Source organism: Homo sapiens, chromosome 1, assembly GCF_000001405.40.
Source record: "Homo sapiens chromosome 1, GRCh38.p14 Primary Assembly".
Taxonomy (NCBI): domain Eukaryota; kingdom Metazoa; phylum Chordata; class Mammalia; order Primates; family Hominidae; genus Homo; species Homo sapiens.
Genome location: NC_000001.11, coordinates 214,812,673 through 214,833,889, shown reverse-complemented (window position 1 = coordinate 214,833,889; position 21,217 = coordinate 214,812,673). Strand labels below are relative to the sequence as shown.

General features: G+C 37.9%; 1 long non-coding RNA gene across 1 annotated transcript, besides 3 other annotated features; it reads right to left on the bottom strand.

The window, feature by feature from the left end:
- Positions 1–7,754: 7,754 nt before the first annotated feature.
- On the bottom strand, positions 7,755–19,477 carry LOC105372916 (uncharacterized). Its single transcript, XR_001737820.2, has 3 exons — positions 19,301–19,477; positions 15,569–15,713; positions 7,755–7,935 (listed from the first exon to the last, which is right to left on the bottom strand). It is a non-coding gene; the product is annotated as an uncharacterized LOC105372916 (long non-coding RNA).
- Positions 9,357–9,970: an enhancer, noted in NCBI's record as "H3K27ac-H3K4me1 hESC enhancer chr1:214997263-214997876 (GRCh37/hg19 assembly coordinates)". NCBI's record gives its function as "activates a minimal SCP1, AML or CMV promoter by ChIP-STARR-seq in naive H9 embryonic stem cells {active_cell/tissue: H9 hESC(naive)}" and the evidence as "EXISTENCE:reporter gene assay evidence [ECO:0000049][PMID:30033119]".
- Positions 9,357–10,807: a biological region, named in NCBI's record as "P300/CBP strongly-dependent group 1 enhancer GRCh37_chr1:214996426-214997625".
- Positions 9,608–10,807: an enhancer, noted in NCBI's record as "P300/CBP strongly-dependent group 1 enhancer chr1:214996426-214997625 (GRCh37/hg19 assembly coordinates)". NCBI's record gives its function as "activates an origin of replication core promoter dependent on BRD2, BRD4, P300/CBP, MED14 and CDK7 cofactors, with strong dependence on P300/CBP, by STARR-seq in HCT116 cells {active_cell/tissue: HCT116}" and the evidence as "EXISTENCE:reporter gene assay evidence [ECO:0000049][PMID:35650434]".
- Positions 19,478–21,217: the final 1,740 nt, after the last annotated feature.

The following is a 21,217-nucleotide window of genomic DNA, read 5'->3' as shown; positions in this document are numbered from 1 at the left end:
CAGGAGGCTTCATTCAGGCCAATAATTCACAACTTTGGCAACTAAATAATCAACTCACATAGAATAAGATTGAACATCAGTAACAAGACGCTCCTCTTACCCCAGTCAAATGAGGATCTAATAATAATACTAAATGGTAAAATTAAGAGCTTATTTTAAAAAGTGAAAAGCACCATTTAATATTCACATCAACCTTTGCTAATAAAATAATGTGGTTTCCATTCGTTGAGAGAAAAACACATGTTTTGGAGTTACATTCTTTGAATGGGATGTGAAGATTCATATTGAGATAGAAGGCTGCATATTTCATCTGTTAACTTAGCTGCTGTTGACTCATCTGCACCCAAGAGTGTACACACGGGTATTAAATGTGAGCAGAGCTTTGCTTTGACATCAAAAGTATGTTGGGGGCTTTTATTTGCTTTTGCTTTGTTTGGAAATATTTTTCTTGGACTGTCTTATTTGATTTTCTAGTATCCAGGGAATTTAGAGAAGCCAGAAACACATCAAAAGTTTTTCAGTGCCCTCTATTATCAAATGACATTGGAGAGGGCTTAAAAGAACAGTCCCTTTATGGATATAATGCTTTTATCCAAGGAGCTCAGAGTCTTTTACAGCAGATATTACTTACTTTTATAGAGCTTCAAAGGTACTTAGAGTTAGTCCAAAGCCTGTGAGTAGATCTAGGGGAAAGGTCAAAGAATAAAATATTATGGTTGGATTTTTAGCCCTTAGCCTATACTTCTTAGAAAAATGGTCTCCCTTTATAACATGGTAATCACCACCTGAAATATTATCTGGGCATCTGCCATCTAAATAAAATATAGCCTGATCAACCAAAGGGATTATTTACTTAAACATTATTAAATCCTACTAAGTGTTGCAGACTAATCCTACACAAGGGATGCAGCAATGAGCAAAGTTCTCATGAATTTATACTTTGGAGACAGAGATAGACAATAAGTTAAATTAATAAGTTAGTGTCTTAAGTTGGATAGTCCCCCCAAAATTTCACATCTACCTGGAACCAATGAATGTGACATTATTTGGAAATATTATCTTTGCAGGTGTCATCAAATGAAGATGAGGTCATGCTGGATGATGGTGGGCCCTCAATCCAATATGAGTAGTGTTCATTAAAGAAGAAAAAAAATTGGACCTAAAGATACAGAAAAACAGGAAGAAGACCACATGATGATGGGGGCAGAAATTGGAGTGTGCAGCTCCAAATCAAGGAACACCAAGGATTGCTGCTGCCACCGGAAGCCAGGGGAGAAGCATGGAATGGGTTCTGCCTGAGACCCTCCAGAAGGACCCAATCCTATCATCATCTTGATTTCAGACTTCTGGCCTCCTGAACTACAAAAGAATAAATTTCTGTTGTTTTAAACCACCTGGTTTAAGGTACATTTTTTATGGCAGCCTGAGGAACTAACACAATTTGTGAGTGCTGGTATGTGCTAAAGAGAAAAAAATAAAGCAAGAAAAAAATAGTGAAGTGGGATAGAGAGATTTGGGGAGGGTTGCAGTGTTAGACTGGCCAGAAAAATTTTCCGTGAGAAGATGATATGGACAAGAGACTGAAGAAGGTCAGGGAGTGACACATGACGATACCCAGAGAAAGTAAGTGTTCCAGATGGAAGGAAAGAAGAGCTTGTGCAAAGGCCCTGAGGTGTGAGCATGCCTGAACTGTCAGGGAATGGCCAGGAGGCCAGCATGGCTGGAGTGGAGTGACACACGGGGAGGGTAGGAGAAGGTCAGGGAGGCCATGGACAGCCAGATCACAGAAATGCCATGCGCTGTTTTAACGTCTCTTGCTGTTACTTTGAGTCAGACAGAAAGGAAGACTCAACTCTTGAAGAGTTTGGAGCACAGAAATGGAGCAGAGGACTGACAAGATCTGACCTATATCTTAATAATATCTTCAACTTGTTAGGAATACACTGAATGGAACAGGACTGGAGCAGGTAGAACAATTAGAAAACTGCAATAATCCAGGCGGGAAATGACAGTGACTTGGACCAGGGTGGTAGTGGTAAAGCTGCTTATACGGGGTCAGATTCAGGATTTTCTTTTTGTAGACATGGCCAATAAGACTTATTATGGATCAGATGTGGAATACGAGTAAAAGAGAAGAATTAAATATAGTTTCAAGACGGTTTGTCAGAGGAATTCGAATAATGAACTGGCTATTTACTGAGAGAAAAACATGAGAAGATTAGGTATGGTGAGGGAGTTCAGGAATCATCTCAGGGCATGTTAACTTTCAGATGCCTTTTTTTTTTTTCTTTTTTTGAGACAGAGTCTCGCTCTGTTGCCAGGCTGGAGTGCAGTTATGCAATCTCAGCTCACTGCAACCTCTAACTCCCAGGTTCAAGTGATTCTTGTGCCTCAGCCTCCCAAGAAGCTGGGATTATAGGCATGTGCCATCACACCTGGCTAATTTTTGTATTTTTAGTAGAGACAGGGTTTCACCATGTTGACCAGGCTGGTTTTGAACTTTCGACCTCAGGTGATCCGCCCACCTCAGCCTCCCAAAGTGCTGGGATTACAGGCATAAGCCACCACACCTGGCTCAAATGACAATTAGATATGTAAGTGAGAACACTGTGTAATCAGTTGAGTGTACAAGATGGAGTTAGTTAGGGAGAAGTCTTGGCAGGAGATTCTAATTTAGAAGTTGTTGGACTAGAGATAGTATCACATGTCTGTGTATTTATTATGCCTCTCCACAATGCTTCTTATTCCTCTGTAGAAAGACTGTATAATTTGGCAATGTAGGGAGAATGACCTTGCTTCTGACTCGTGACAGTTCCACACCCTTCTTATGGAAAGAATTATAAAAATGGCTTACCACAATCTGTTCAATGTTTCAGATTGTTATATATATCTATTTTTTATAGCCTTCCCATTTTAAAGAAAAATGTGTTCGGCAATTTACAATGTTCAACACATAATAAAAAAACCATAATTTAAAAAGTAAAATTAGCAATTAGAAAGAGAAGTTAAATAAGTAAGCCAAGCCTCTGTGAGTGGACATTTTTTTTTTTAAGTTCTGTTTATGATGATCACCTTTAGCAAAAGCAAGAAAAGAAGCAGGTATCAGCCTCCACGGGAAATTTCTAAATAATATTTTCATTATTATCTAACTTTTGGAAAAATGTTGAATGCATTATTTTGAATCAATGAATGAAAGGTTTGTACTGATCATGAGATCTAACCACACAATTGTTTTTGATTCCTGGTATTAATTAAATATTGTACCCTAAGAAGATTTAATAACTAAGCCATGACTCCTTTGCAGAGATCCTTGATCAATAACACTAAAGTAAATATATCAATAAGAAGAAAGCCCCTTTTCTGATTTAAGAACACAGAGGCAGGTGGATGAATGATAAACACAGATGGATCTGTGATGATGACCAGAACTCAGGTGGGAACAGGAAAGAGTTTCAGTGCAGAGCGTGAATTCAATGAGTACTGAACCCTCCAGGGAACTGAGACTACTATGACTTTCTTATTCGTATTCAAATGATGATGCTTTGAGGTCTGTCATGTCATCTATAGTTTCTGCTTTAACAAGAAACTGAGTCAAGACATGATCCTGGAGGGGTTCCTTCCTGCCCATCTGCTACTAAACCCAAACAAGAATCCTGAGCTCAGAATATTCTACTTTGGATCCAAGGGCGTGGAGTAGGTAAATTATATCACTCCCTTCTAATTTAAGAATTTAGTGTTGTTTGTTCAGTTAAATTGGGCCTCATATGGGCATCAGTGAAAATGTTCTGATTAGTTCTTTTCCTCCTAATTATTCTAACCAATTCAAAGAAATTACCTAGAACAAATAGTAGGAGTGAGATATTATAACTAAATGCTAAATTTAACTTTGAGCTTCATGGTAACTAAGTTAAAAACAATCATTGGTTGATGCTCCCAAAAAAACTGGCTTTTTAAAGACCCATATATTAGCATGGTGCTATTGACTGAAAAATTGTGTCCCCTCCAACCCCAGAATTTATATGTTGAAATCCTAACCTCCAAGGTGATGCTACTAGGAGGTGTAGCCTTTGGGAGGTGAAGCCTTTGGGAGGTGATTAGGTCATGAGCATCATCCCTTACAAATGGGATTAGTGCCCTTATAAAAGAGATTGAGGAGGGCTCCCTCAACCCTTCCCCAGTGTGAGCTTACAACAAAAAGACAGCCATCTATGAACCAGGAGACAGGCCCTCAGCAGACACCAAATCTGCAGATTCCTTGATCTGGAATTTCCCAGCCTCTAGAACTGTGAGAAATAAATGTTTGTGGTTTAGGCTACCTAGTTTATGATGTTTTGTTATAGCAGCCCAAACAAACTAAGACACATGGAAAAGCATATTTTTTCTAGTGTAAATCTAGAAAATATTTATTAAGTATATTTCAAATTCCAGGGACATTGGATGATAATAGAAAAATGCTTAGTATTGTGCTTTTACAAATGATACACACTGCAAATGATCACTCTAGTATTATCCTTACACAAAATACGCAGCACTGCATAGAAATCAAAAGATATCTTCAAAGAATTAGAGTTCACAAAAACTGAGTTCTGATTATACAACTTAAAAATGGAAAGGACTTAGGAAATGTAAAGGAATTAATAATTAATATATATTTTACACATTCCCTTTAAAGCAGCAGATATTTCAAAAATAAAAGGTTAGAAAGGCAATTTATCATGCCTAGAGTGTTGCTATTTTATAATATTGATTAAAGAGATAATCATAAGACTTAAGCAGGGATTCCAATTTACATTGCCTGCAGAGTCCAGGCAGATAGATGTTTGACTCAGGTAGTGAATAAATAGGAAGTGAAGGGGATTGTGCAAGTTAAGAGTACATAATTTATCATATAAGAGAATCACTACCCAGCTTCAGCCCATTTTTATTTAAAAGAAATACAGACCCATTATTGTAAAATTTATCTGGATTTTCAGGGAAAACTGGTAATATGGAGTTTATGTGAAATTTTGCCATCTTTGATTAAGTTGTTTTAGATCTTAGATGGTAAAAGTTGACATATAAAGGGACTTCCTCTTCTTGTCAGAATGTAGAAAGTGAGAAGAGAATGTCTCTCCCATCTAAGAGGTTGAACGGGCTGGGTAAACACACAAATTTTTCCCCATGTGCAACGCAGAAGCCACCAAAGGCAGGGACAGAGCAAGAGTTGAGAAAAATCTTTCCAAGGCTCACCAGGCTTTTACTAAGTATACTACAACACACTCTCCAAAGCCTAGGGACATCAGCAGAGCAGAGGGAGGTATCATGAGCACAGAAACCTGAAAGTAACTTGTAGAGAAAAGAGAATTCCTCCCCCACTCATCTACAAACCCAAAAATCTGGTAGCAAAGCTATAAAGCATACAAGGAGGTTCATGAATACACAGATCCCAAACCCCACTGAAGACAAAGGGTTGTAAGATTCCATTCAAGTGTCGTAAGATCCTTGTTGTAAGATTCAGTATTACTTCAGCGTAGAACTGAAGTTCAAAGCTCATGTAGCAATCTCTACAGCAATTACTAAAATACTTTAAAAGTTAATAGAAGAAACAAGGTGGAATATTACAAAATTTTTTATTCAGCCAAAAGAAGGCAGAAACAAAGAAATAAAGGAAAGAGAGATGAGGCAAATAGAAAATCAATACCAAGATGTTATACTTAAACCCAAGTATCAATAATTATATTAAATGTAAATGGATTACACATGTCATGTAAAAAGCAGAGATTGTTAAACTAGACCAAAAAAAAGCCTCAATCATTAACTGTTTACAAGAAATACACTCAAAATAGAAATACATAGACTGATTGAAAGGAGAAGGGTGAGAAAACATATACCATGCAAGTACTAAAGGATAGAAAGCTAGTATTAGTGTACTAGTATAAAACAAATTCCTCTAAGATAAACAGTATAATCTGAACTAAAGGCAGACATTTGATAATGATAATATGGTCAATTTATCAAGAATTCAAATCACTCATAAATAAGTATGCACCTAATTATGCAGCAAAAACTCAGAAATCAGAGAAGAAATTGAAATATCTATAATCACAGCTGGAGAAGTTAATATTTCTTCCTCACTAATTGGCAGAAAAAGTAAACCAAAAAATCAGTTAAGAGTATAAAAGATTTAGACCACCATCATCAGCTAACATGACCTAATTTACATTCATAGAAAATACAATACCCCAAAATGAAGAATGCATATTCTTTTAAAGAATACAGGCTGGCCATGGTGGCTCATGCCTGTAATCCCAGCACTTTGAGAAGCCTATGCAGGTAGATCCCTTGAGCTCAGGAGTTCAAAACCAGCCTGAGCAACATAGTGAAACCCTGTCTCACAAATAAAAATAAAAATTAAAAAATTAGATAATAAACAGATAAAATTTAAAAGAATACATGGCACACTTACCAAGAGAGACTGTATTCTGGCCCATAAAACTAGTTGCAATTCATTTATAAAAATTGAAATGATAAAGTATGTTCTCTGGTCACATTGATATTAAATTAGCACTCTAAAACAATAAGATAGCTAAGAACACTCATGACAAACATTTGGAAATTAAATTATGGGCTTCTGAATAATCCAGAGTCAAAGAAAAAATTATAAGAAAAACTGAAAATACTTCAACCTAAATGACAATTAAATCACAACATATGTAAATTTATGGGATTCAATTAATACTAAGCTGAGGAGGTAATGAGGCAGGAGAACAGGTAATGAGGCAGGAGAACAGGAGAACAGTGCAAACTGATTTGCACTGACTTCCTAGAACAGAATCAAAAAGAAAATCCTATCTCTCCATGCCCAAGTAACAAAAGGATCAGAGGCTTCTCCCTTTGCAAAACCCCCTACCCTTTCCATTGCGTTGCAGAAGAAAACTGGAAAGTACCTCTGATTGGCCACCTCCCACAACCAATCAGATTGGTAACGGGCCAAGTCTTTGTATGCATAGGGTGTAACTTTATAACTTCACTTCAGCCTCTGATTGGTCACCTCCCATGACCATTCAGACTGGTCCTGGGACAGTGCTTCATTTACATAGGGTGTAACCAATTAAGCAATGGGAAATCTCTAAAGGGTATTTAAACCACGAAAATTCTATAATTAGCACTCTTGACCACTTGTGCTTGCTCAAGGCTGATCCCACACTGTGGAGTGTACTTTTGTTTCAATAAATCTGTGCTTTTGTTGCTTTGTGCATTTTGTCCAATTCTTTGTTCAAAACGCCAAGAACCTGTATGACTCGTAGTCAAGACCCTTCACCAGTAACAGAAATGCTTAGTGTTGAATTGTTTACATTATTAAAGAATAAAGATGGAAAATCACTGATCCATGCTTCTACCTTAAAATTTGTAAAAGAGGCCAGGCGTGGTGGCTCATACCTGTAACCCGAGCACTTTGGGAGACTGAGGCAGGAGGACTGCTTGAGGCCAGGAGTTTAAGAACAGCCTGGGCAACAAAGTGAGACTCCATCTTCATAAAAAAAAAAGGAAAAATCAAAAGAAATTCCAATGGAATTTACAAAAACAAATTCTATTAGAACTGGCAAGTGAATTTAGTAAGGCTGCAGAATTTAGGTCAATATACAGAAATCAATTGTATTTCTATATGTTAACAAAAAACAATTATAAAGTGTAATTTTAAAACAATACCACATATAATAGCAACACAAAACGCTGAACACATTGGAATGATTCTAGCAAAAGACGCACAAGACCTTTACACGGAAAACTACAAAAATTTCTAAGAGATATTAAAGAGCATTTAAATAAGTGAAAAGATACCTCATGTTCATAAATCGAAGGACTCAACACTCTTTTGTCCATTTGACCCAAGTTGATCTCTTTAATACGTTCTCAAACAAATCCCAGCAGACTGCTTATGAAGAAATTGACAAGCTGAGGAAGAACAAAATTAAAGGATGTATACTACTTCATTCAAAACTAACCATAAAGTAATATTATGACAGTGTGCTATTGCTACATAGATAGACAAATCAATCAGTGTAACAGAATAGAGATTCCAGAAATAGATCTGCACAATATAGGCAGGTGGTTTTCCCCAAAGATGCCAAGGTAATTCATCAGGGGAAACAAAGTCTTTTGTACAAGTGGTAGTGAAAAAACTAGAATCCAAATGAACAAAAATAAATAAACCTCAACTGCTACCTCATCCCATTCAAAAATTAATTTGAAATGGATCATAGGCCTAAACTTAAAAACTAGAGCTATAACACTCTACAGTAGATGAAGATTGCTTAGGTCACAAAAGTAATAGCCATAGAAGTGGAAATTGATAACTTAGATTCCATCAAAATTAAAACCTGCTGCTCATTAAAACCACTACTTACAAAACTAATAGGTAAACCACAGACTAGGAAAAATATATATTGGTTAAAAATCTGTTTTTAAAAATCTGGCATCCTTTATATAGATACACAAAGAATTCCTACAAATCAACAGGGGAAAAAAATGAATAATCTAATTTTTAAAATGAACAAATATATTCAAACAAACTTGTCTCACACACACACACACACACACACACACAAGATTTACAAGTAACCAATACAAAATAAAAAGATGCTCATTATTATTCAAAGGGAAATTCAAATTAAAACCAAAATGAGATACCATTTCATGCTCACTGCAATAGCTAAAAAAACAAACAAAAAAAAAACTGACAATACCAAGTACTGGTGGTGATGTGGAACAATCAGAGCTCTCATTCACTGCTGGTGAGAATGTGCAATGGTACAACCACTTTGGTGAACTGTTTGGCAGTTTCTTAGAAAAATAAACATATAATTGGCCCAAGGCCAGCAATTACACTCCTAGTAATTTGCCCAAGATAACTGAAAACATATGACCACAAAAAGACTTGTACAAGAATGTTCATAGCAAACTTATTCATAATCAAAATCTGGAGATGATCCAAATGTCCATCAACAGGTTGTTGATTGCTGGAGAGTGACTGAGCTGACTAAACGTGGGTACAAGAAAAGTTTCTGGAGAAAATGGAAACGGTCTATATGTTTTTTCTGGATGATGTTTAGCACAAATACACACAGCTCTTAAAACTCAGCAAATAAACTCTTAAATCTGTGCATTTTATTGTATTTAAATTATATCTCAACTTCAATTCTTGAAAAACTTTGTGACAGGTGTCTATGTGTCATATTCTATATTTAAAAAAAAACCCCACCGGGGTAGAATGATCAAGATTTTTCTTAAAAGAAAGAATACATTAAATCTGCTTAAGCACTTAAATACTTAGTTGCAACTTTGTAAGTCTATGTTATTCAACAGTAATTTTTAAATGTAGAAAAAATGTGCAAAGGGCTTGAATAGAAATTCTTCCAAAGAAGACCTAGAAATGCCCCACAAGCATATGAAAGCATGTTCAACATTGCTAATTATCAGGGAAATGAAAACAAAAAAAGACATAAGAGATAGAAGTCGATCATGGTGGATGGGAAGCAGGACAAGATTGCAGCTCCTGACAGAGCAGCGGGTGGCTGGCGTTGTGAATTTTAGCTCCAGATCCACCACAAGAACCTTCAACCAGCAATCCCGAGAGGACCCACAGACCCTCTGAAGGAAGCGGACTACTCCTGCAGGACCCAGGAGACTCCCCCAAAACTGTGAGTGCCCAGACTGTGGAAGTGGGAAAGGGAGACCCTCCTCTCCTGAACACACACCCCCACTGCAGAAACTTAAGGTCTGTTTGGGGGAGACGTTTCCGACTTTACCTGGAGCTGAATCAGTATGGAGAGCCGAGTGAAACACGGGTAGAGGAAGCAGCAGAAAGGCCCCGGAACCTCACTGGGTCCCCTAGCACCCATTCCTGCCTGGTACCACAGAGATCCAACAGGAGAGGAGCGGGGGTAAAACTGCACAGGAAGAAGCAAATCTCTAGCTGAACTTTGTAACAATTTGAACCGGGTGAGAAGCCTCCCGGCCAGAACTTGCGGGAGGGCGCAAATCCAGTGTGCGGACTCCACTGGTTGGGGAAGAACCAAGCCCTTTTTTTTCACAGCTGGGAGGCGAATAGCCTGGTGCAGATTTTCGATCCTGTATTGCTCTCCACCTGGAAACAGTCTGGGGGCAGTTGCAGGGAGCATGGTGGGAGGGAGACGGGCCCTTCGGTTTGCGTGTGGGAGCTGGGTGAGGCCTGTGACTACCGGCTTTCCTCCACTTCCGGAACAACCTGCATGACTCAGCAGAAGCAGCCATAATCCTCCTAGATACACAACTCCAGTCACCTGGGAGTCTCACCACCATCCCCCACAGCAGCCACAGCAAGACCTGCCCAAGGAGAGTTTGAGTTCAGACACACCTAGCCCTGCCCCCACCTGATGGTCCCTCCCTACCCACCCTAGTAACAGAAGACAAAGGGCATTTAATCCTGGGAGTTCTAAGGCCTTGTCCACCGGCGGCAGGTTCCTCCCCATAATACCACAGCTGAAGCTCTCTGGAAAGCGCCACCTCCTGGCAGGAGGCCAACCAGCACAAAAATAGAACATTAAACCACCAAAGCTAAGAACCTTCACAGAGTCCGCTGCACTTGCCCCCACCCCCCTCCCACCACCTCCACTGGAACAGGCACTGGTATCCACAGCTGAGAAACCCATAGACAGTTCCCATTACAGGACTCTACGCAGACAACCCCCAGTACCAGCCCAGAGCCGGGTAGACTTACTGGGTGGGTAGACCTAGAAGAGAAACAAGAATCACTGCAGTTCAGCTCACAGGAAGCCACATCCATAGGAAAATGAGTCTCAATAAATTTAAGAAAATTGAAATTATATCAAGCACTCTCTCAGATCACAGTGAAATAAGACTGGAAATCAACTCAACTACAAAAGGAATCTTCAAAACGATGCAAATACACAGAAATTAAATAACCTGCTCCTGAATGAGCATTGGGTCAAAAAAGAAATCAAGATGGAAACTTAAAAATTCTTCAAACTGAGCAACGATAATGGCACAACCTATCAAAACCTCTGGGATACAGCAAAGGTGGTGCTGAGAGGAAGTTCATAGTCCTAAATGCCTACGTCAAAAAGACTGAAAGAGCACAAACTGATACTCCAAGGTCACACCTCAAGGAACTAGAGAAACAAGAACAAACCAAACCCAAATCCCACAGAAGAAAGGAAATAACCAAGAACAGAGCAGAACTAAATGAAATGGAAACAAAAAAAATACAAAAGATAAATGAAACAAAAAGCTAGTTCTTTGAAAAGATAAATAAAATTGATAGACCATTGGCAAGATTAACCAAGAAAAAAAGAGAGAAAATCCAAATAACTTCACTAAGAAATGAAACAGAAGATATTACAACTGACACTACTGAAATATAAAAGATCATTCAAGGCTACTATGAATACCTTTATGCACATAAACTAGAAAACCTAGAAGAGATGGATAAATTCCTGGAAAAATACAACCCTCCTGGCTTAAATCAGGAAGAATTAGATACCCTGAACAGACCAATAATAAGCAGTGAGATTGAAGTGGTAATTTAAAAATTAGCAACACAAAAAGTCCAAGACCAGAGGGATTCACAGCAGAATTCTGCCAGACATTCAAAGAAGAATTGGTACCAATCCTTTTGACACCATTCCACAAGATAAGGAAGGAACCCTCTAGTTCACCCTAATACCAAAACCAGGAAAGGACGTAGCCAGAAAAGAAAACTACAGACTGATATCCTTGATGAGCATAGATGCTAAAATCCTTAACAAAATACTTCCTAACCAAATCCAACAACATATCAAAAAGATAATCCCCCATGATCAAGTGGGTTTCATACCAGGGCTGCAGGGATGGTTTAACATCTGCAAGTCAATAAATGTGATACACCACATAAACAGAATTGAAAACAAAAATCACACGATCATTTCAATAGATGCAGAAAAGGCATTTGACAAAATCCAGCATTGCTTTATGATTAAAACTCTCAGCAAAATCAGCATACAAGGGACATAACTTAATGTAATAAAAGCCATCTATGACAAACCCACTGCCAACATAATACTGCATGGGGAAAAGTTGAAAGCATTCCCTCTGAGTACTAGAACAAGACAAGGATGCCCACTATCACCACTCCTCTTCAACATAGTACTGGAAGTCCTAGCCAGAGAAATCAGACAAGAGAAAGAAATAAAGGGCATCCAAATTGGTAAACAGGAAGTCAAACTGTCACTATTTGCTGATGATATGATTGTTTACCTTGAAAACCCTAAGGACTCCTCCAGAAGGCTCCCAGAACTGTTAAAAATAATTCAGCAAAGTTTCCAGTACACAAGTCAGTATCTCTTCTATACAAGAATAATGTACACAAATCAGTAGCTCTTCTATAGACCAATAGCAACTAAGCACAGAATCAAATCAAGAACTCAACACCTTTTACAATAGCTGCAAACAAAATAAAATAGTTAGTAATATACTTAACCAAGGAGTCGAAAGACCTCTACAAGGAAAACTACAAAACACTGCTGAAAGAAATCATAGATGACACAAACAAATGGAAACACATCCCATGCTCATAGATAGATAGAATCAATATTGTGAAAATGATCATACTGCCAAAAGCAATCTACAAATTCAAAGCGATCGCTGTCAAATATCACCATCATTCTTCACAAAATTAGAAAAAAACAATTTTAAAATTCATATAGAACCAAAAAAGAGCCTGCATAGCCACAGCAAGACTAAGCAAAAAGAACAAATCTGGAGGCATCACGCTACCTGATTTCAAACTATGCTGTAAGGACATAGTCACCAAAAGAGGATGGCACTGGTACAAAAATAGGCACATAGACCAACGGAGCAGAATAGAGAACCCAGAAACAAAGCCAAATGCTTACAGCCAACTGATCTTCAACAAAGCAAACAAAAACATAAAGTGGAGAAAGCACCTTTTCAACAAATGGTGCTGGGATAATTGGCTAACCACATGTAGGGGAATGAAACTGGATCTGCATCTCTCACCTTATACAAAAATCAACTCAAGATGAATTAAGGACATAAGCCTAAGACCTGAAACTATAAAAATTCTAGAAGATAACATTGGAGAAACCCTTGTAGACATTGGCTTAGGCAAGGATTTCATGACCAAGAACCCAAAAGCAAATGCAATAAAAACAAAGATAAATAGCTGGGACCTAATTAAACTAAAGAGCTTTTGCATGGCAAAAGAAACAGTCAGCAGAGTAAACAGACAACCCACAGAATGGGAGAAAACTTTTGCAGTCTATATATCTTACAAAGGACTTATACTCAGAATCTACAATGAACTCAAACAAATCAGTAAGAAAAAAACAAACGATCCCATCAAAAAGTGGGCTAAGGACATGAATAGAAAATTCACAAAAGAAGATATACAAATGGCTAACAAACATATGAAAAAAAGCTCAACATCACTAGTGATCAGAAAAATGCAAATCAAAACCACAATGCAATACCACCTCACTCCTGCAAGAATGACCATATTCAAAAAAATAAAAAAACTATAGGTGCTGGCATGGATGCATGAACAAGGAACACTTCTACATTGCTGGTGGGAATGTAAACTAGTACAGCCACTATGGAAAACAGTGGGAAGATTCCTTAAAGAAGTAAAAGTAGAACTACCATTTGATAAAGCAATCCCACTACTGGGTGTCTACCCAGAGGAAAGGAAGTCGTTCGCAAAAGATACTTGCACACACATGTTTATAGCAGCACAATTCACTATATATCGCATTGTATATACATTAGTGGAATAAGTATATATATACATACACACACACATTAGTGGAATAATATACATTATATATAATATATACATATGTGTATTATATATTAACATATACATTAGTGGAATTATATATATATATATATGATGGAATACTACACAGCCATAAAAACGAATGAATTAACAGCATTTGCAATGACCTGGATGAGATTGGAAACTATTATTCTAAGTGAAGTAACTCAGGAATTGAAAATGAAATACTGTATGTTCTCACTAATATGTGGGAGCTGAGCTATGAGGACACAAAGGCGTAAGAATGATGCAATGGACTTTGGGGACTTGAGGGAAAGACTGGGAGGGGGATGAGGGATAGAAGACTACAAATATGGTAGAGTGTATACTGCTCGGGTGATGGGTACACCAAAATCTCACAAATCATCACTAAAGAACTTACTCTTGTAAGCAAATACCACCTGTACCCCAATAACTTATGGAACAAAAAGCACATAAGATATCACCTCACCTCTGTTAGGATGGCTATTATCAAAAAAATGAGAGATAACAAGCACTGGTGAGACTATTAAAAAAATGGAACCACTGCACACTATTGGTGGGAATGCCAAATGGTGAAGCCATGGAAGACAGTATGGCAGTTCCTCAAGAAATTAAAAATAGAACTACCACATGGTCCAGCAGTGTCACTTCTGGGCATATATCCAAGAAAATTGGAAGTAAAATCTTGAAGAGATATCCGTACTCCTATGTTCATTGCAGCATGAACAATAGCCAAAGTATAGAAAAACCCCAAGTGTCCACTGACAGATAAATGGATAAAGAAATGTGATACATACATTCAGTGGAATATTATTCAGCCTTAAAACGGAAGGGAATCCTACCATTTGTGACAACATGGATGGACTGGAAGACATTAGTGGAATAAGTCAGTCACAGAAGAACAAATACTGCATGATTTCTCTTATATGAGGCATCTAAAATAGTCAAAGGTATAGAAGTAAACAATAGAATAGTGGTTACCAGGAGATGGGAAGAGAGTAATATGTCAAGTTGTCATTCAATAGGTTTAAAGTTACAGCTAGACGAGTAAGTTCCACGGACCTGCTGTACAACATAGTGCCTAGGGTTAAAAATAAGATATTGTGGGCCAGGCACGATGGCTCACGCCTGTAATCCCAGCACTTTGGGAGGCCGAGGCAGGCAGATCACCTGAGGTTGGGAGTTCGAGACCAGCCTGACCAACATACTAAAAATACAAAATTAGCCGAGTGTGCTGACACATGCTTCTGATCCCAGCTACTCAGGAGGCTGAGGCAGGAGAATCGCTTGAACCTGGGAGGTGGAGGTTGCAGTGAGCCGAGATCGCGCCATTGCACTCCAGCCTGGGAAACAAGAGCAGAACTCCATCTCACCAAAAAAAAAAAAAAAATTGTATATATACATATATATATACACACACATATATATACATGTATATATATATATATATATAGTACCTAAAAATTCATCAAGATGATAAATCTCATATTAAGTATTCTCACCAAAAAGAAAAAAGGAGGGAGGATTACAATGAAACTTTTGGAGGTGATAAATTTATTACCTGGATTATCGTAATGGTAACATGAGTGTATGCACATGTCTAAATTGTATATATTAAGTATGCACAGTTTTCAGTATACCAATTATACCTCATTAAAACTGGGGGAAAATGAACAGGAGAGTAACTTTGGGATTGCATTGCTAAGTAAGCTGCAGACTTCATGAAAAATTCACCTGTTTTTCACTAATGTCCTTTATCTGCTCCAGGGTCCATATTGCATTCAGGAGTGATTTCTCTTCAGTTGCCTCCAGTCCTTTCAAATTTTCTCAGTCTTGCCTTGTCTTTCATGACCTTGACGGATGTTTATTTTGCATAAGTCTTATGAGAAAGAAAAGTATCTGGATTAAAGAATATCTCACACACAAACACACATACACACACAAAATGCTATTAAGGGGCAGAAAACAAAATTGTGTGAGGACCAATATTTGTAAAGGAAAATAAACAAGCAGTTTTGATTGACCCCCTCCTGGTCTCCTAAGGCAGATAGCTCCTGCAGCTTCATTAGGAAATCCAGTTGATCTTCAGAAGAGTTCAAGGATCTCTAACGAACAGCAAATAATAAACAATGTATGGGTTTAAAATTCAGGAAGTCCAATCTTTTGACTTCCCTGGGTCACATTGGAAGAAGAAGAATTGTCTTGGGCCACACATAAAATACACTAACACTAACAATAGCTGATAAGCTTTAAAAAAATTGCAAAAAGTAATCTCATAATGTTTTAAGGAAGTTTATGAATTTGTATTGGGCCGCATTCAAAGCTATCCTGGGCTGCATGTGGCCCATGGGCCGCAGGTTGGACCAGCTTGATTTAAATGTTTTCAGAGAGGATGTGTTAGTTTCCCAATGAATGTGTTGCGCTGCCAAATGGATTTTTTTTCTTTTGTTATTTTGCTAAATTCTGTTAAAGGATGGCTGTAGGGGTGCATTCATTTAAATTTGGAGAAACTTCCAACCAAGATTATAAATTTAGCTTTAGTATAGCTGAAGTTAAGCCAATCTTATTGACAATAATGAACCCACAGGCTCAGATATCTTAAGACTATTCTTGTTCCCTAACAATAAACAATGTCATCAACATAGAAGAGGTTACTTGAGGTATGCAAGAGAGCATGCATCCAATAATTAAATGGCCTTGTCAGATTATTTAAATTTATGCTAGTAGGAAAGGAAGCAACTTTGCAACATTTAGAAATGAAATTCGCTTTGTAAGATAATTCTAATGCCAGTGGCATTATATACTAGAAGTTTTGAAAATGTGTTACAAGCAAGACTTTGAAAACATGTTACAAATGTTAAAATATGTTCTAGATAATATTCTTTTCTATTTCATTGATGTTTGTCAAGAAATAAAAGCAAAAATATCTATATCATCTTTTTCTTCTATATTACTCTTGTGTTTTTACTTGGGCAATGAAGAAGAAGATAGCAGTTACTAACAGTGAAATGGTTTTACCAAAACATTGATCAAGGGACTGTTCCACAGTGTTCATTTTGCTTCTTTCTTTTTTAGAAAACCTGTCCAAAGTTTTGAAGGAATATACAAGATACCAGTAGGTCTGTAAGTTGGGACAATAGAGAGTTTTTCTTTTATTAAAACTGAATAGACATCACTTCAAATCCACTCTGACAAACTTCTGCAAAAAATTATGTAAGGTAAAGTCTGCAAGAAAAAGTGATACTGCCTCCTGCTTCCAGTGCTGGTAGGGCAGAAAAGAAAAAAACCTATTTTGCTATTATTTACAGTTTTAAATATTCACTGATATTTTAATATGGCAAATGAAACCATCGATAAACTAATAATAACAAAAAATTCTATACAGTAAAATCCACCGTAATCAAAGTCAAAATACAAATGGAAAATCACAGGAAAAGGTATTTGAAACTCCTATTGTAGACAAAGGAATAATTTCCTTTTTAATGACCTCAGAAGAATCAATAACACAGACAAACCAAGGAAGAATGTACAAAGAACAGGAACATATAAGCTACAAAAACTATAAATAACTCTTAAATACAGGAAAAGATGCCCAATCTGAGGCAGAAAAAAGGAGAAGTAATATTTAAATGAAAATTAAATGCCATTCTTTATCAAATTGGCAAGTATCAAAAAGTTTTATAGTCCTCCACACTGGTGAAACTGAAGGAAACAAACCACCTCATATGTTGCTGATGGGAGTATAGAGACAAAGGGAGATAGTACAGACAACATGAAGATCAGCTGGAAAATGTCTATCAAATGTACAATTGTTCAAGGATATTTGCTGCCATATTATTTGCAATAGAAAAAGGTACCCATCAATGGTTAGATTATGGAAACATACATAGAGTGGAACATGATACTGGAAATGATAAGGAAGTTTCATATGTAATGACCTTGGGGGGAAACTTCAGCCTTTAAAGGCTCTGAACCCTTGATCTCCTACCCAGGATCAGGTCTTAGAGCATGGGGAAAGATGTAAAAATTCTTCTCTTCAGATAATTCTGGCATTCAGAGAGCAAAGGAGTACTAGGTTCATTTCCAATTGGACCCTATAAAGAGAGGCAAAATCCTTTTCTTAGCTTGAAAAAAAAAGTGGCAGGGGGGAAGCAGAGTCTTAAAAAGGTCTACTTGCTACTACTTTCTAGGGAGTGAAAAGAAGCAAGAGTGAGGGACTAGGGGAGTAAGGCAGGGAAGGAAATGGTGATGCATTGTCAAGCTGGCCACAGTAAAACATGACAAATTGCTGCATCTTTCTGAATCAGTCTCTGAGAAGTCAGATAAAATGGATCTCAAGACTGCCTGTTAGAAAGAGTTGAGGGAGGAGGATGGAAAACAAACATATCCATTACCCATCAGTTCCTGTATCATATTAGTAAAAGCCTTACTGCAGGCAGCACTAACTACCCAGTTCTTCCAAGTTGTAAATTTATGGGGCCAAGTAGAATTCCACAGAATTCCACATTTTCATGTCAACAGATAGGCCCTGGCCAGGCATAGGGTATTAGGCGAATCACCTTTGGGAACTCAGTCAGAGCCCTGCAAAGCTTGTCATTAGAGCAAAGGAGGGAACAAAAGACAGGCGAGGCTGAGAGAAGCAGAAGCAATGCGTGAGGAAGTCTGATATGGTCTCTGGACCTGTGGGAGTGTAGTAGAAGTGGTTGTATGGGGTATCTGGGGCAGATAAGTTCTAAGGAAGCCTTCCTGGTTCTCCAGCAGCAACGTAGCATCATAGGATAACGAAGTTGGAGGGCATCTGCAAAGGGCCATGGAAGAGGGCTCAGGAGAGAAAGAGATACCCAGTAGATCCTGAACAAGTCTTGCAGTTGTGACAGGTGGACATCTAAGTGGAAAGGGTTGGGCCATGCCACCAGACTCCAGTGGTGACATGCCACCTCAGCAGAGAACGCAACTGTGGATTGCACTCCTCAGCAGGTGTGCTGCCCCACAGCTGTCCCCAGGCCATGCTGTTAGGCCCCACAAAACTTCTTTCCCTGGGAAGAAGAAGGAGAAGAAAAAAGCCCCAAAATGGACTTAATCTGAAAGACTTAATCAAAACTAGAATAAAATGGGTAAATTTTCTGCCACTGAGCAGAAATGAGGCTCGAGAGAGATAAAGTTGAATTATGGAAAAATAAAGTCACATTTCTAGCATCCCTGAGGATGTGGTTTGAAGATATCAGTTTTGCTACTCGTGTATTGGCTGACAGTGGCAACAATATTGAGGCTCGGAATATGTTCAAATTGGTCTAAAATATCTCTCTCAGGAGTGGCATTTGCAAAGAAATTCCGACCACTAATTAATCGGTAAGGCTGGTGTCTTAATGAAAGTAATATTTTCTCTAGACAAGTGCATTACTTTGCTAGGACTGCCCTAACAAAGTACCACAGACTAGATTAAACAACAGACATTTATTTTCTCACAGTTCTGGAGGCTAAAAGACCAAAATCAAGGCATCAGTTGGATTGGTTCCTTCTAAGGGCCATGGGGGGTGGATCTGTTTTTCCAGGTCTCTCTCCTTGGCTTCTAGATGGCTATCTTCTCCCTCTGTCTTCACATCATCTTCCCTTTGTTCAGGTCTGTGTCTAAATTTCCTCTTCCTACAAAAATAAAAGTTACATCATATTAGGGCCCATCCTAACGACCTCACTTTAATCACCTCTATAAAGACTGTATTTCAAAAAAAGAGTCACATTCTGAGGTAATAGGAGTTAAGACTTCAACATATGAATTTTTTTGAGGGAGAGTGTCCATTCAGCCCATAACAACAAGCTATCTTCCTTCCTGCCCCTGCTATGTGTGTGAGATGCTATGAGGCAAGCCAGAGAGAGCCAACTGGAAGGAACACCAATGGCCAACGCTGGAACAATTTGAGCAAATAATAATAATGATAATATTGGATTACAAGTCACAAAATAAATGAGTCCCTACGGATACAAATAAACATTTGAATAAATACATAAATTGGAGATATGGGAGATCTCTTCTTTACAAAAGAATTCCAATTCATAAATGTAAAAGAAGAGGGGGAAATAAAACTTGCTGTTAAGTAAGCACTACAGTAATAGCTGTTACAGAAAAATCTATGAATGGATGCTAAAATTAGTGGGCACAAGCTCAAGGGAAAATAAGATACTCATGTACTTTTAAAGCATCTTCCCCTCTATTCATTTCATATGTAAAAATAACTTTACAGTTGAAATGCAGCAGGTAACATCTAAACCAAGTAATCTAAATTAACATCACCAATAATAGGACATCTCACTCCCTGATATGATGCACTGAAGAGGACACAGCATCACCTATGGTATTCTCACCAGCATTCCCATAAAAAATGCACAACCTCAATCTAATCATGGGAAAACGCCAGACAAGCCCAAATTTTGAGATAGTCTATAAAAATAACTAAGTGGTACTCATCAAAAGTATCAAGATCATGAGACACAGGAATAATGTGGAACTATCACAGTAGGGGAAGACTAACGAGATAAGACTAAGTTCAAGGGAAGTCCTAGATAGAATCTTGGAACAGAAAAAGGCTGTTAGGGGAAAAGGAAAAAAGAAAATGAGTGAAATTTGAGCAAGGCCTGTAGCTGAGTTAATAGAATTGTACCAATGTTAATTCCTTTTTTTTTTTTTTGATGGTTCAACCAACATGTTATTATGTCTTATTTTATTAGCTTTGACCATTGGTTTTGATCGCTGTCCTTTGGTTTGATAAGTTGTTAACATCAGGAGAAGCTTGGTGAAAGGCACATGTAAACTAGATACTATTTTCGCAACTTTTCTGTAAACCTAAAATTAAATAGTTTTTAAAAAGACATTGGAAATTGTCTCTTACAATATCCTGCTACGTTGGAAACAGGTTTTAAAGGAGAAGAATTCTGTGGTGAAAGAGCTTCCAAAAAACAAAGTAAAAGGAACTACAAACACGAAAAAGGAACTGCACATGGAAGACATGATTTAACTAACGAAACCCCCACACTTAGCCCAATGGCCGCCTTGTATCCTTAAGCCATGTCAGAGGACCTCTTCTGAGGGATGATGAGAGGGAGTAGACAGGAAATGACCTCTAGAGATCAAAGCATGTACTGGTGATGTCTGCCCACAAGATTTTTGTGAAGAGGAGGAAATATGTGAGAAAAGCCCAATTTGGTGACTGTTACATAAGCGGCTCTCAATAAAGTTTACTTTCTGAAGGGAAGGATATGAGTTAGTGTTTAAGCTCACCCTCATGTGTTCTCAGAGGAGAGGGGAGTTTTGTTACATTTCCAGTATAGCCATGGGAATAAAACATTCAGTCTCTCTCCTCGTTTTCCATTCTTCTTTGGGAGGAGGAA